This window comes from Homo sapiens, chromosome 2 (genome assembly GCF_000001405.40).
Source record: "Homo sapiens chromosome 2, GRCh38.p14 Primary Assembly".
In the NCBI taxonomy this organism is placed as follows: Eukaryota; Metazoa; Chordata; class Mammalia; order Primates; family Hominidae; genus Homo; species Homo sapiens.
In genome coordinates this window covers 200568549-200585566 of record NC_000002.12, presented here as the reverse complement: position 1 = coordinate 200585566, position 17018 = coordinate 200568549, and the positions used below count along the sequence as shown (strand labels likewise).

Here is a 17018-nt window from a genome sequence, read left to right as displayed (position 1 = left end):
ATCTTTTAGAAATATAAGGTTGGTGCAAAAGTAATTGCGGTTTTTACCATCACTTCCAATGGCAACAACTGCAATTAATTTTGCACCAACCTAATAATTACTGGTTTTAAAATGAAGTGCTATCTTGATATAAACTTAAAAATTTTATCACTATTTACAGTTTATCCAGTAACTAACCACAAAGTTTATCTGGTAAATAAGAACAGAGATGTAAAACATCTTGGAAAACTTAAAAAAAAAAACTTGGAAAATACAGCAAAGCATAAAAATAAAGAACACCTGTAAGCCCACAACTTAGAACTTACCACCGTTCACTTTTTTAGTCTATCCTTACTTTTTGAAACATGTACTTTTAACACCTTTAAAAACTTAAGTGGGACAAACTAGTTATTTTCCAGGCTTTTTTCACTTGCCATACCTTAGAACATTTTCCCATGTTATTTCATTTATGTAAACACAAAAATTTTATTGTGAAATTTTCCAAACTTTGCACATAAAAGTGAAGAGTGCAATTGGCATCTACCTGCCCTTCACTGAGCTTTAACAATGGTCAACGTTTTGGCATACTCCATTTTTTGTAGTATTTAAAAGCCAATCCTGGACATATTTTAGCCCTAAATACTTCAAAAACACACATACACATCCTTTTAGTCAGCCGCAACACCATTTCACGTGTCTAAAAAATGTCTTTTACACTTGACTTCTTTGAATCAAACAAGAGCTGTGCAATGTATTTGCATGTGGTCTCATCAGTCTCTTTTGATCTAAAACAGACTTTTTAACACTATTAACACATTGAAAAAGAAACCAGGTCAGTTGTTCTATTGAAATGAACCATTTTTTGAATGTGGCTAATTGCTTCTCCCTGGTATTGTTTTTCTACTCTACTTATTTCCTATGCACTAAATATTAGATCTAAAGCTTTGATTAAATTCAGGTTCAATTTTTTGGGGGGGAGAGGGCAAGAACACTTCATAGGTGGTACCATATAATTAATATTGCAGCACAGCAGGAAGCATATGGTGTCTGGTTGTTTCATTCGTAATGATGCTAACATTGATCAGTGGGTTCAGAGGGCTATTCCTTTGTAATGAATTTCTCCATCAACATTTCACCTAATTGTTTTACATCCATTGTTGAGCATTGCCTGAGCGGTAGTTTTAATAGGGGTTTGCAATTTTTCTAATTCTAGCATTTCTTCTTCATTCATCAACTGGGATTCTTTGAATAAAACTATCCATCCTTCACTAGAGCTATTGACTAAACCCCTCCAGCACTCTGTACCCCCACTGCAGTCTCTCAAAGTGTGGTACTAGGACAATCCTCGGACGGACTCACCTGAAGCATCTGATTAAGATGCAGATTTCTGGGCCCACCGCGTTAGTGGTCAGATATTGTCTAAAAAAGTTTTCCATCTAGGTGGAATAGAGTTTGAGTAGTCATTTGAATTCAATAAACTGTGTATTGATCTCAGATATGAACAGGATTTATTACTACTTATTACTGGAAGAGTAAGTGATCTTTAAAACCAAATTATAAAAACCAAATTCAAAAGAGCCTGAAAGGTTAATCTCCTCCTCTAAGTCATCAGATTACATATAATAGAAATAATACAGAAGCTGACATTCAACATGTATTTCTGAAAACAGAAGAATGAAGGGAGAGAAAACGGGCCAGGGCAGGAGGTGGCTTTTAAACCCTTTTGGATGTCCACATATATTGAATGGGTTAAAAACAGACAGCAAAACAAGACAGCCTAGTATACAAGATAACCAATGCAAAGGTATTTATTAACACATTTTATTTGGTTAAAAGGTTATTGTTTGGTTAAAGGCTACTAGGTAAAAAGAAGCTTAAATAAACAGGAAGGTAAGTTATATGATGACCAAAATGACTCAAAAAGTTTAATGTTACAAAATAGCTATTTTATGCACATATACCTATTAATAAACATTAAGAATGGACAAATCAACACTCCATGAAAGGCCAAAGAAACAAAAAAAAAACCTTTTCATTAAGCATTTCATCTTCTTGATACTATATTTCTGTTTTGATTCCTTATGCTTTGAAAATTCAGAAAAACCAGAATCCATAAATTCACTTCATCTTCTCATCTTGCTGCAAAGTAGAAAAAAAGGAAGATTAATAACAACCCAAAATTAATGCTTTTGCTGTGAAGCATGGAGAAGAAAATTGTTTCATCATATCAGTAGAAAAGAAGTTTCCTTAAACCATAAGCTTTGTTAAATACTTGAAATACTCTAATTTTTCTTAAATCTTATAGTTCTCACTATCAGAGTACTTCAAATAATTCATTTCAAATATTTAAGAAAAATTAATCAACATAGATTTTATATATTACATGTTTATTACATAGTTCCTTTTTGTTAGAAATTTAGCATATGTTCAAGAACATGTGAAAATATACCATTTAAAAACAAAGTAAATGCTCATGTTCCTACACCCAGGTTAAGAAACAAAATATTACCACACCTCCAATATGCCCCTTTCTGATCACAACCCTCTCCTCCCCCAAAAAGGGACCACTATCCTGAATTCTATTATCACTCCTTTCTTTACAGTTTTGTTTTAAGCGTTTGTGTATTGCTCTCCCACAAAGTATATTGTTTGGTTTTATCTGTTTGATAGATATCTTTATATAAATGGAATCGTACTGTAGGTGTTTTTCTGTGACTTTTTCCACTCAACATCTTCATTCATTTTCAAGCCTCTCCTTTATTGAAACATTAAACATTTTATATTCTGTGTCTGATTGCTGTTTCTGCTGATACCTTGTTCCCCTGTGTATGTAATGTTTTTCTTTACTATGAGGTAGCCCTTCATTTTCCTTGGAACTTTGGCTGTGCAAAACATGTTGAGGTGTGAGATGGACAACTCCCTACAAAATATTTGCTTCTAATAGACAACAGAGCACTATAGTTCATGCACTAATTATACTAAATCCTCAGCTTAACTTTTTTTTTGCCTTCGAAATATTGTGAATTCCAGCTATAATCTGCAATAAAGGCTGTATTTTGGTTATGAATTCTAAGGAAAGATTTTTTTCCTCCTTAATTCAGCACCCAAGTTATTTCCTGGGGCTGAGCAAGCTAGTGGGGAGGTTATTTTTAGTTTGCTCTTTTACTGAGAAAGTAGATCAACTTTATGGAAGAAGATCTATTAGACTATTTATTTTGGATAAACCCTAGGATTTGTCTTCTGTCCCTAGCCCCATAGGGTTGTGAATGCAATGTTTAGGTTCACCTAGTTAGACAAATATCTTCAGGATAAGGTCAGTTCCCCTCTGAGTTCCTGCTATCATTTGATCTTTGATCTGAGCTTTTCTTACTTTCCTACTAAAAGAAATGTTGGTTGGCTAATAGTCATTAGTTAAGAAATGCATTCAAGGTATGTTTTTTAGTATTTTACCCAATAATTTTATTTTTTCAGTAAGAGGGTAGATTCCTGCACCTAATACATCATGTTTCAAGTTATGGAGTTTAGTTATATTTTACATGCATGTGTGTAAATGTGGTTTTTAGATGAAATACATAGACATGGTCCCAAATTTAAAAAGGTATACAAGATTAGGTGGAAAGGTCTCTTTCACTCCTTCGTACTCCTCTTCAGAGCCAGTGTGATACCACTGCCTTGGGTAATTAGATAGAGTTTAATTAATCCTTTCAAAAGAAGTACCTATTCTAAATAAAACACAGCAAAATGCTGTAAGGAAATAAGGTTCTATTTTAGTTTAAATGTACAGTGCATGCAGATGATTTGCTATACAGCTTAGTTGGTAAAATTTTTAAAAGCAAAAGCCACAACATTCAGTATAAATTCCGAGTGATGACCATCCAGTTGCCACTTTTTTTTCTTCCTTCTTTTTGGATTGGAAATGGTATACACTAGGTATATCACAGCTTCTAGTAGCTCCCATGAAAGTACATCCTAATTAAAGCTGCTTGCTATTATGGAATGATCATCATAGGTATTGAAGATAGGAGTGGTAGGAGTTATCAGGAAGGTCTCATAAATATGTTTTTAAAGTCTTTATATCTTAAAGACTTTAAGTCTTTAGTCCAGAGCACTGAACATGACAAATGAGGACATTTTTAATATAATAAAGGCCATAATCCAAAATGAATAAGTAATAATCATGATATTTACATAGCAAAAAGCAGAGCAACCACCCTTCTGAAGCAAAAACTACAGGAGATACATGGAAACACAGGACACAGTAGATTTTAATATACAACTCTTAGTATAACCTTAGTACAAAACAGATCACTTATTTACAAAAAATAAGAAACAGAAGATCTAAGCAACATAATAAATACAGTAAATCTCATGGATATATATCAAACTTTAGACCTTGATTATGGAGAATATACATCTAAGCAATCACAGCACAGTTATAAATGCTGATCCTATAGTAGGTCACAAAGAAAATACTGGCAATTTCCATAAAGCAGAAATATTACAATAAATAATTTCTGACCAAAATGCAATAAAACTAGATTTACAAATAAAAACAAAAAACCAGAAAGGTTCATCTACCTGGAATTTTTAAAACCTCCTAATAACTCCTAAAGAAAAGGAGAAACTTAAAAACGACATTGAAAACACTATGTATCAGAATCAAGATACATTGAAAGCACTGATCAGAGAAAAATTGATTGCAAAAGACACTTTAAAAAAAAATTTTTTTGTGTGTGTTCTATTTACTTATTTTTATTTTTAATTTTTTGAGTCAGGATCTTTCTCTGTGCAGTGGCACAATCATGGCTCACTGCAGCCTTGACCTACCAGGCCCAAACTATCCTCCCACCTCAGCCTCTCTAGTAGCAGCTGGGACTACAAGCACATGCCAATGTGCCTGGCTGATTTTTAAATTTTTTGTAGAGTGAGCGTCTCCCTGTGTTGCCCAGGCTGGTCTCCGACTCTTGGGCTCAAGTGATCCTCTCACCTCAGCCACCCAAAGTATTGGGATTACAGGTGTGAGCCACTGTGCCTGTCCATAAAACACTGTTATCTATATAAATGAAAGAATAAAAACAATAAATTTTAATGGGAAAACAACAATAATAAAGTAAATCAAAGAAAACACAAAGAAGGAAATAATAAATATGAAGCAGAAGTCAGTGAAGTAGAGAACAGAAAAATAGATCCAATTAGTAAATCAAAGTACTGATTTTTTGGAAAAGTTAATAAATAAACTACTACCTAATTTGATCAAGAAAAAGAGAAAAAGAACAAACACAAAAAATAATAAATGATATAGGTAAAATAATTATGGGAAAAAAGATTTAAAATTAATTTACATGTCTAATTCATAAAAGATACTTTGCAGACTTTTATGCAAATAAATTTGAAATCTTAGATGAAATGGATAATTTCCTGTGGAAATACAAATAACAAAAATTGACCCCATTACAGCAAAAAAGCTTAAACAGACTAATTTTCATACACACAAAAAACAGTCAACGTTATTAAGGAACTATCCCACACAAAACAGTACTAGGTCCAGATGGTTTCAGAGGGGGATGCTAACAAACTTACAAAAACCAGAGAGTCCCACTGTTCTAAAATTATATAAGTATATAACATACAAATAATTATAAACATAAATTATAATGCACTATAAATTATAATGAAATATAAATTATTTCATTAAAGGAACCAAGATGGTGACTTTCTTGATTCCCTTAATATGATACCTAGGCCAGATAAAGACAATTCAAAGGTGGGTAACTATAGACTCACATCAGTTATGAATGTTGATATAAAAATTCTAAACAAAATATTTTGGCAAACTCAATTCAACATCACATTATGAAAAACATACTCCGTGATCAAGTGAGATTTATTCCAGGAAAGCAAGGTTAGTTCGGTACTGGAAAACTCATCAACAGATGCCATGTTAATACATGTAAGTAAATGAAGTATATTACTATCTTCATAAATGCTGAACAAGCCTTTGACAAAATTCAACAATCATTCATGATAAAAACACTCAATAGGCATCAAGGGGCATTTTCTTAGTAAATTATGTACATATCTTAATCCTACAGCAAGTATCTTGTTTAATGGAGAGACAAAAATACTTCAACAGAAGCATTTCTACTAAAATCAGGAACAAGGCAAGCATGCCTACTATTCCTGCTACTATTTTAACATTGTACCTGAGTTATTAGCCAATGCTAATATAAAAACAGTAAGAGGCATACAAACAGGGTAATGAAGTAAAACTATCTCTATTTTCAGATGATATCATACTATACCTGGAGAACTCAAGACAATCAGTGAGATAAGAGAATAACAGAGTTCAGAAAGTAACAAGATATAAACTGACACAGAATTCAACAGCTTTCATATATACGAACAACATTGGGCATCAGTTACATGTCCATATATAATAGCAACAAAGAAAACTAAATACTTATAGACCAGTGGTTTTCAACTCAGGATGCTTTTGCCTCCCAGTTGAAATTTTGCAACATATGGAGACATTTTTGGTTGTTATAAATGTGAGGGTGCTACTGACATCTAGTGGATGGAGGTCAGGGATACAGCTAAACATCCTACAATACACAGGACAGCCTCCCATAAAAGAGAAATACCTAGCCCCAAAGGTCAACAGTGCCAAGGTTATGAAACCGAGCCAGACAAGTCAATACCATCCTAAGATTCATTTGTAACAACAAACATTCAAGAACAGTGAGGGAAACAATGAAAAAGAAAAACCATGAGAGGATACTAGCCCTACCAGACATTAAAACATACTATAGATCCTCTACAATAAACAAGGAGACCACTGGCAAAGGTGATGAGATGTCTCACTTCCGAGATGACATTTTGTTATATAAGACTCTATCCTGCTACAGGACTTGCTCTAGAGATTCTCCACAGCTGGCTTTGAAGTAAGTGGCCATGCTGTAAAGGAGGCCGTGTGGCAAGAAGCTAAGGACAGCCTCTAGTCAACAAGAAGAAGATGAAGCCCTCTGTCCAGAACCACAAGGAAATGAATTCTGCCAACAACCTGTGTGACTTGGAAGCAGATTCTTCCCCAGCACAGCCTCCAGATGAGAACCAGCCTGGACGACACCTTTAGTGCAGCTTTGTCAGACCCTAAGCAGAGCACCTAATTAAGCTGCATCCAGATTGCTACTTAAGCCACTAGGATTAAGCCACTATGACATACTGGAACATCCTGTGTGTCAGAAAGTAAGAAAGTGCTCCAAATAGTATGAAGTCATGTCAAAAGGACACGGAAGCCAACCTGAAGGAACTCTTAGTGGTCAAAGTTGGAATAACTTGAGCAACAAGATAAATATTGATGGCATTGGACTTTCATCTATAGAACAAAAGAGATACCCACGATATATATCTATATCTATATCTATATCTATATCTATAGAAAAGACAACTCTTCCTTACAGATGAATTCCAATTAATGTAGAAGGAAAGGGAGAAATCAAAAATCACTACTAGTAGTACCCACAGTAGTACTGTTGCAGGCAAGATCCACCAATGGATGCTAAAATTAGTGGGTGAAAGTTTGAGAAATGGAATATATAGACTCAAAGTATCTCCCTCCCATGTTCATTAACAATAGAGGAAAAGATTGTGACTTCACAGTTAAAAAACCCAACAGACACCACCTTAACCAAGGAATCAAGGCTAACATGACTAGTAATGAAACACACTGACATGATGAAGCCTTGAAATGAGGCAAGAAGGACATATAATTTCTGTGAAATATTTGCCAAAAAAGCACAACTGCATTGCAATCATGAGAAAATATCAGAAAACCCAAACTGAGAGATATTCTACAAAATAAACTGACCAGTAGTCTTCAAAGGTGTCCAAGGCAGAAAAAAAAAAAAAAGACTGAAAACTGTCATAGGTTGGAGGATGCTTAGGAGAAACAACAACTAAATGCAATGTGGGACTCCAGATAGAATTCTGAAACAGAAAGTGATGTTAGTGAAAGTCTATAGTTTGGTAATAGTATTGTACCAATGCTAATTCTTTAGTTTTGATAATTTTACTGTGGGCACATAAGACATTAAAATTAAGGAATGCTGGGAGAGGACCATAGGGGAAACCTTTGTATTATTTTTACAACTTTACCATAAGTCTAAAATTAGTTCAAAATAAAGTTTAACTTACAACTCATTAAAAGGCAAATGACCCAACTGAAAAATGGGCAAAGGATCTCAACAGGCATTTCTCCAGGAAGATACACAGATGGCCAGTAAGCACATGAAAAGACGCTCAACATCATTAGTTATCAGGGGATTGCAAATCAAAACCACCATGCAATATCACTTCATACCCACTAGGACGGCTAGAATCAGTCATAGAAAAACAAGTGTTGGTAAAGATAAAGAGAAATTTTTAAAAATCATCATCGTTGGTAAGCATGTAAAATGGTACAGCAGTTTTGGAAACAGCTTGGCAGTTCCTCAAACAATTAAACAGACTCAGCAATTCCACTCCTAGGGATATATCCAAGAAAAAAAAAAAAACAATACTTTACACACAAAACCTTGCAAAAGAATGTTCATAGTAGCATATTCATAATAGCCAAAAGATGAAAACAACCCAATTGTCCATCAAAGAACAAATGGATGAACAAAATGTGGTACATCTACACAATGGAATATTATCCAGTCATAAAAATGAATTGAAATACTGATACATGCTATGATATGAAAGAAACTTTAAAACATGCTGGGTGAAAGAAGCCAGTTGCAAAGACCACATATTCTATTATTCCATTCATATGAAATGTCTAGAACAGGGAAATCTAGAGAGACAAGAAGTTGATTAGTGGTTGCCTAGAATTGGGAGGATAGGAAAGTGATAACTAAAGGGTACAGGGTTTCTTTTTAAGTAAAGAAATGTTCTAAAATTGACTCTGGTAATGGTTGCACATATTGATGAATATACTAAAAACCAGAATATTGCATACTTTTTTTTTCTTTTTTGAGACAGTTTCACGCTGTCACCCAGGTTGGAGTGCAGTGGTATAATCTCAGCTCACTGCAACATCTGCCTCCGAATTCAAGGTGATTCTCCTGCCTCAGCCTCCCGAGCAGCTGGGACTACAGGCGCACGCCACCATGCCCAGCTACTTTTTGCATTTTTAGTAGAGATGGGGTTTCACCATGTTGGCCAGGCTGGTCTTGAACTCCTGGCCTCATGCAATCCACCTGCCTCAGCCTCCCACAGTGCTGGGATTACAGGTGTGAGCCACCACATCTGGTCTAAATTGTACAGTTTAAATTGTGTGAATTATATCTCTCAATAGCTGTTTAAAAAAAAAAGAAAAAAGAAAAAAAAAAGGCCCCTTGGTCCTTAATTTCACTTTTAATTTTCTTTTACCCTGCCTTATATTACTGCCATCTGCTGGTTATTGCTTTAAAATACCCATGAGAATCATTCTTTTTTGTTAGATGTGATCATTGTTGTCTAGTTTTGCTAAGAACTTTAAGTTCTTACTTTTTAGAGAGAGATATATCGAAGTGTTTTAAGAATTAAATGACTCAATATTTGAGACTCTAAAATACAACAAAAAGGATACATGAAGCAAATTCGACAAAGTGTTATAACTGTTGAACCTGAGGAATGGATAAATTGGAGGAGGGCACTATTCTCTTTGTTGGGGTATGTTTGAAATTTACAAAAATAAAGAGAAAGGACTGTTATTCTTTGAGAGTAAAGGACACATAAACCACTTTGACTTCTAGGGAACAAGGTAGGAAATAAACAAATGGGGTAACAAAAATGGCTTGCAAATCACAGGCCACAAATTTTAAAAATTATAAGTATCAGGCTACAATTTAAAATATGACAGTAGTAGAACTGGGAACTAACCAAAAGCAAATCAATTTAAATCCAGACAATTCTCCAACCCCCCAAAAATAGCCTGTCCAAAGGACATATTTCTTCAACTCTTACCCAAATCATACTGTGGTTGTTACATATCAATAATATACATTTTATTGAATTATCAGAAGTGCTCAAATACTAATTCAGGCAGAAATTTTTTTAAGGATATATTTTATAATGGCATACTAAAATCATTTGAAATACTTACTCTCTGAGGCTTGGCTCTTTAAAATAGAAAGGAGTACACCTTCTTCTTCTGCTTGTCCGTTCTGAAGATAGATCTTCTGACTTATTTTCAGATTCAGCAGTGTTATTTGAAACAAAACTGGTATTTGACAAGTCCTGTAATGGTCTATCACCTGAAAAAGAATATTATTTTTCACAAATATTTTAAAAAGTATATAGAGATACAAATAGATATGAGCTATATAGTGGTCTGCAAATCACCACAGCAAATTTTAAATCTTGATTCAATTTTGAGAGGAAAGAGACTAACATTTGAAACAAACTGTCAAAGTAGCCTATAACTTTTTCATTCTGAAATCACATATGGCTCCCAAAGTTCATCCTAGTTCAACTCTTTTCATGGAAGCACACAAATTACAGTTCATTCAACATATATGCCATTGATCACTCACTCTGTGTAAGGCACCATGAGGAGCACAAAGATAAAAAATGTCTCACCAGTCTTCTAACAAATCCTGCAACTCTAAACCTTTGTAATTCTTTTGCTTCAGTGTGCTTTTACCTGGAATTGACTTACCCGCCAAAACCTTAGGGATCTACACACATATATTGAAATAATAGGCTCCCAGTAAAAATTTTTAATTGGTATAGGAATGTTTAATATTACAAAATTTCTAATGGCAAAAGAAATATATATTTAAAATTCCATAGATTTGGGTCTGCATGCACATGGTAAATGGACTAAAGTTCTCCCAGGTGATTTTTTCCCCCTCCCTTTTTCTGACTCTCTACTTTTGATTTTTTTGCAATGAGTACTATTTTAATAACTGGGAAAAAAATAAAAAGTAAATACTACAGGTAAAAATCTTACTTATCCTTTAGGGCCTAAAATGCTACCTATTTAAGGATGCGTTTGAAGATTCCTCTAGTCAAAATTACTCCCCATTATATCCCTTAGCATAATACATGTGCTTAAAGAATCGTTTATTCCATTTCACCATGATGTTTGTTACATACATGGAATCTGAGGAAAGGGGGTTGGTATTGTTTATTTTTCAGTCCTCTATAATATCTAGAAGGGTTTGATCACATTAAATATACGTTGTTGAATGGGGAAAGAGTCTCACTCTCAAGAAACATGCAACTGTCTTCAGTAAAATAAAAACCAGTACAATTCATTATTATATACATTTAAAACATTCAATTTCCTTCAGATGTATGAAAAAGCAAATTATTTGCCTATGGTCTTTATTAGACAAGTTTGTGGTAAAGGCCAAATCCATTTATAGTTGTAAATGTCCAAGATACTCTCACTGTTATTTCCCAAAGTATGAAACTTTCTTTATTCCTTCATGCTATTTCTATGGATCATGTACTCAGTTATATATTGTTTTTAAATTCCATAAAAATACCAGTTAGAAAATACTTCACTGGCTAAGTAAAAAACGAAAACAAAAAACAAAACACTTCTAAAACTTTATCATTTCATAATGGTTATTAACCTACCTATTCCTGATTTTTGGGTTCTCCGGTTGACTTTAAATTTCATCTTGTTCATCTTCTCATGCTCATCATCACTTACTTGAAAGGCTGGGGAGCACTCCAAGGCAAAATTTTCTTTTATTATCACATTTTTACCAGAAGAAACGCTCAAAGGTACTAAACCTTCACGAACACTGTCAAAGGAAGAATCTTGTATGTTAGGTGAATGTATCTCAGACAAAGATCTAAATGCCTTTGTGTAAAAGTCTGGCTTATTTTTGACCATTTTCTCATTCTCCAAATTGTTTTCCTTATCAGCTTGTTCAGATACAGTAGACTTTCCCTGAACGCTGTCAAGTATTCTTTCCATTACTTCATGGCTCTCTGGAGAAGGATCTATGGAGGTCTTCCTTTTCTTTGACTTAGATGTCATTTTATTTACCTTTTTAACCTGACACTCTCCTTCTTTTATTTCTTCCACAAAAGGGAGATCTTTTTTATTCAAAGTGGTAGTGCTTTGCTTCTGAGTCTTACATAGTTCAACTGGGTTTCCTGGATCAGAATCTGCTTCACTAGTAATATGTTTTAAATCAGATTCTAAGGAGATAGATGTCTGTGAAGATTCTGTTAACTGTGAAGCAAGTTTGTTCTTAGCTTTTGTCAAAATGTTCTTTGCCTTGCATGATGATTCTTTCTTACGTTTTTTAACTACTTTGTAGGAATCTAAAATTTGATCACAACTTTCCTTTTCATTACTGTTGACTTCCATATAGTGTTTATTGATAATGTCTTGGCATTCAAGTTTTTGTTTAGATTTATTTACTTTAAAATCAAGATCTTTTGTATAGCTTTCTTGGACATGTGCATCTTTATCATTATCCTCATATATCTGGTTCATTTCAGAAATTATTTCTGTCTTCCAATTCACTTTATTCCTGAGCTTATTTATTTTTGATTCATTTTGCTCAGCAGATTTCCTATCAGTAACATACTTTTTCAACTCCAATATATTCTGGGTGTCATAATCACATAAATTTCCATTATCTTTGATGAGAAGATCAACTGTTTGAAATTCATTTGTGACTTGTAGATTTTCAGAAATTGTTTCTTTATCCTTTGGGGTTAGAGAGAAGAAGTTATCTTTTTCTAGGTCATGTACACCTTTGTTATCATTCTCATATATTTGGTTGGTTTCAGGAATTATTTCTGACTTTTGACATACATTTAGTCTAGGCTTCTTACCTATTTTTGAATCATTTTGACAAGCAGGTTGCATATCATGGCCATGTTTCACCCCCAAAACATTTTGAATCTCAGAATCATACAGGTTTCCACTATCTTTGGTAGAAAGAGCAGGTGTTTCAAACTCACTTGGGTCTTCTAGGTTTCCAGGGATGATTTCCTTATCTTTTTGCGTTAAAAAGAGTGAGTGACTTTTAACTGTGTATTCTATACTTTTGTCATTATCTAAATGATTCACTTCAGAAATTATTTCTGTCTTCCGATTTACTTTCTGCCTAAGCTTCTTATTAACTTTTGATTCATTTTGCTGAACGGGGTACATATTGGTGATCTGCTTTTGCAAACCCAACACATTCTGGGTCCTATAGTCACATTGATTTTCATTATCTCTAGTAGAAAGAGCTGGGATTTGAAGCTCTTTGGAAACTTCTATGTTTTCAGAGATAGGTTCTTTATCCTCTTGGGTTTTGAAAAAAAAATTACCTTTTTTTAGGCCATGCACCACATCTTTATCATTATCCTCATACATGTGGTTCATTCCAGAAATTATTTCTGTCTTCCGGTTTACTTTCTTTCTAAGCTTATTAATGTTTGATTCATTTTGCTCTGAGGGTTGAATATCAGTGACATACTTTTTCAAATCCAATATATTGTGGGTCCCATAATCACATAAATTTCCATTATCTTTGGTGGAAAGATTGGCTGTGTGAAATTCATTTGTGACGTCTAGGTTTTCATAAATGGTTACTTTATCCTTTTGGTTTGGGAGTAAGTTATCTTTTTCTAATTTGTGAATCACAAATGTCTGTCTAGAAGCTTTACTTTTATTACAAGTTAGGGAATTCTGACCCTTATCAAATTTACTCTCCTGGTGAAATTTACCTGAACTTTGGGATAAAGAGTATGTTTCCTCTTGCTCATTTGTTATTCTTTTCTCCTTTTTATTACACAGTACATTTTCTCTGTCACCTTGTTCAAAGCCAGTTTGAAGGGTCATTTTCTTTAGTTCATTCACCTGAGCCAGCTGTTCATTCATCTGAGCCAGCTGTTCATTATTGAAAATAAAACCGGGATCTTCTGCACCCCTTTTGCCATCCAGGACATCAGATCTTTCTGTCCTGTTTTCAATCTTTTCCCCAATATCGACATCTGAACTATTTTTAAACTGTCTCTTTGATCTTTCTCTCTTTTTTTCAGAGCTGGAATCTTTCACTTTTCTGAAAGTTTTCATTCCATGTTCATTTGTTTTTTTATTACTTTTCTTTTTAATGCCTGTTGAGACTGTGACAATTTTGCTGACTTCACTAGCAGTTAAATCCATGTCAGCATCATACACAGTTTTCTGCAATTGAAAGTCATCATTATCCTCAATTTGATTCATGCACTCTGCATTAGGTTCTCTGGCAGACTCAGAAGATAAGCCAGGAAGATCCTGTTTATTTCTTTGCATTTCAGTATTTGTTTCATTAGTATGACCATTTATCTCATTATTGCAATTTAATTCTGGACTTGAAATGTGTTGTTTATCTAAAACTGTTGCACAGGGAGTGTCTGCAGAAAGATTATTTGATTCCCAAGATGACCCACGCTTCTTCCTTTCAGTCACATTACTAGGAGATGGTTTCTCCCATCTGCGGCCAATAGACTGGGCGTTTCTCATCTCACTCATTAGAGAAGTCTTAGAACTTTGGTCTGAGTGGGAATGGCTTTCTATTAAGAAAAGGAAAACAAAACTCAGAAACAAGTAATGAAATAAATAAGTTACCTTAAACAAATTAGATTCGAAATCAAGCTGTTTCACAGATATAATTTCTGACAATGTGTTCTGATCAGATCCTAATATTACTAAGAATCTATGCTTATAAGAAAATAAGTTAGAAATGATGAATACTCCTAAATCACATTTTACATTTGTATCTACAGAAAATATATACTGAGAATTCTGCCTCAGCCCCAACAGTAGAGTGGAGTACAGCCAACAGTAGAACCATTAGCATACATTTCTAGAGTGAAAGGAGGCCAGCAAATGAACCCAAATAATAGTGATAGCTCTGAAAAGGATTGCTATCAAAGACTATCAACAGGCAGCTAAAATTTATATAAATTATATATACATATATTAATATATGTTTGTATGTGTGTAAATATATACACACATGTATATATGTATACTGTATACATTATATGTATACCATATATATGTGTGTATATATGTGTGTGTGTATATATTATATACATATACATATGCCCACACACACACACACACACACACACACACACATTTTCAGAAAGGAAAAACAATTCTAAGCTCTAAATTCAAAATTGTTATAGTTCCATATCCCAGTCTGAAAATCTATGGCAAATCTGTAAGCACCAGACTACACCACAGATTATCATTTAGGAATACTATGTAAATAAAATGTAAATGCCATCTTTTTTCTTGCTCAACCATTACCCAGACTCAAGTTTTTGCTTTACCATTAATTAACTGGTGATGATCTTCAAAGAGTCTCTATACCTATCTAGGCCCCCAATTTTCATATCTACAAAAAAAGAGGGTAAAACTAAGTAAATATATGGTATCTTTCAAATCATAAGCTAAGATATTGAGAAAAGCTCATTAGGTCCATTTATTTCTAAATATTTCTTCCAGAGTAACAGTATTAGGCCACTGTGGGTGTGATGTTTGTCAGCATATTTACTTTAAAATTAAATCTATCACCAGCAGTTTTAAATGGCAGAAGTTAGCAAATCGGTAACATAAGAGAGCTAACTTATTAACTGTTATACATAATTGCCCTCAGGAAGAACATCTGATGAATGTAACTAATACAAATACTCAAAATGAATTTTTAAAACAATCTCACCTCTGGGAGGTACATCAACTATAGAAGAAATATGTTCTGAATCATCTAAACCATATACATTTTGATTATTTTCTTTAAGAAATAACACTTCCGAATTATCCTGAGTTGATAAAGGTTGTGTTGTTGATCCTGAAGAGGGAATATCAGGTAATGTCTTTGATTTAATATTGTTGTCACACTGCATTTTCTCTTTATCTTCATCTTCATCATCATTTGAAGTTAATGGAACCCTAAAGGCAAGTGGGAAGGAAATGAGAAATTATGTGTTTTATAAATTTTCTTTAAATGCATGGGCAGTTATTTCTATATTCTATTTAAGATCGAACCACAAATCCACCTGGTACTTTTTCAAGTTCAATGAAGACACTTAAAGGTAGGAAATGAGTAGTTCCTACTAGAACAGAACTTGGAAGGAAACATGAATGCTTCTTAACCCCTTAGTCACAGTGGCCCCAAAAGAAGATAATTTATATATTTACTTCTTGTGCTATTAGAAGACTACTATTAAGCAAATGAAAAAAGTTCAAATGTACTTACAAACAGCCATGTATAATATTTATACTTTTCATAAAATTTTAATTCTATGTAATACCCAAAAATCTTCCTTTGGTTTCTAGCAAATGTAATTGTTTATAAAATTATGTGTGAAATAAGTTTGCTATGTTTCCAAAAGGCATCCAAGTACACTAAAATCATTATTCCTAGAGTAATTAAATCTATGGGAAGAAAACTGACAGAAACCCACAGAAATAATTTGATACACTGACATATTTGAATTCAAAGAATGAAGAGTAATATCGTCCACAAACAGTAAAGAGCTGTCTTGTATTCCAAGGAAATCACAGATATTTTAAAATAATTTATAATAAGAAAAATAAAATATTTCTGATAAATATTTATGAGAAATTTAAAGGCAACTACCAGTAGAATAGCTGTTGGGAGGAAATTTCTATACCACTTGAGGAAACAAGTTAACAAAAATAAACGGAGAGGTTCTGCTTCTGGTAATGGCTAAAAGTTACTATCAGACCAACCCTACCTAACATAATGACTATAAATTCTGGACAAAATATTTTAAAAAACAACTACTAGAAGTCAGTGAATGGACAAAAAGCAAGTAGAGAGCTAGCGAAGGGGGTGCCAACACTTGGAAGAAGAGTGAGTTTCCCATTGTTTTACAGCCTCAGCTGGTGCCACATTCAAAAAAAGTTGGAAACCTACAGTCTTATTGGTTCAAGGTTAGAATTCAGGGCAACTATAACAGCTGTGAAGTGATGGGGGGAAATGTCAGATAAGAGAGGTAAAGAGGAGAGCCCCAAATTTTGTGTATAAATGCTCCCCAAA

At 33.7% G+C, this 17018-nt stretch overlaps 1 protein-coding gene across 10 annotated transcripts in view; it reads right to left on the bottom strand.

Annotated features, from left to right (window-relative positions):
* Positions 1–1470: 1470 nt before the first annotated feature.
* SGO2 (shugoshin 2) overlaps positions 1471–17018 on the bottom strand; it is a 57955-nt gene continuing 42407 nt past the window's right edge. For 6 of the 10 annotated variants that reach the window (XM_017003452.3, XM_005246345.5, XM_005246344.5 and 3 more), the window contains 4 exons: positions 15675–15904; positions 11590–14517; positions 10106–10256; positions 1471–2118 (listed from right to left, as the gene is read on the bottom strand). In XM_017003452.3, the coding sequence (XP_016858941.1) occupies positions 2103–2118; positions 10106–10256; positions 11590–14517; positions 15675–15904 (3325 nt within the window). In that variant the 3' untranslated portion in view covers positions 1471–2102. Of the gene's footprint in view, positions 2119–4898; positions 5033–10105; positions 10257–11589; positions 14518–15674; positions 15905–17018 lie in introns of those variants that run through there. The other 4 variants (XM_017003454.3, XM_047443502.1, NM_001160046.1 and 1 more) reach the window with 2 other exon arrangements.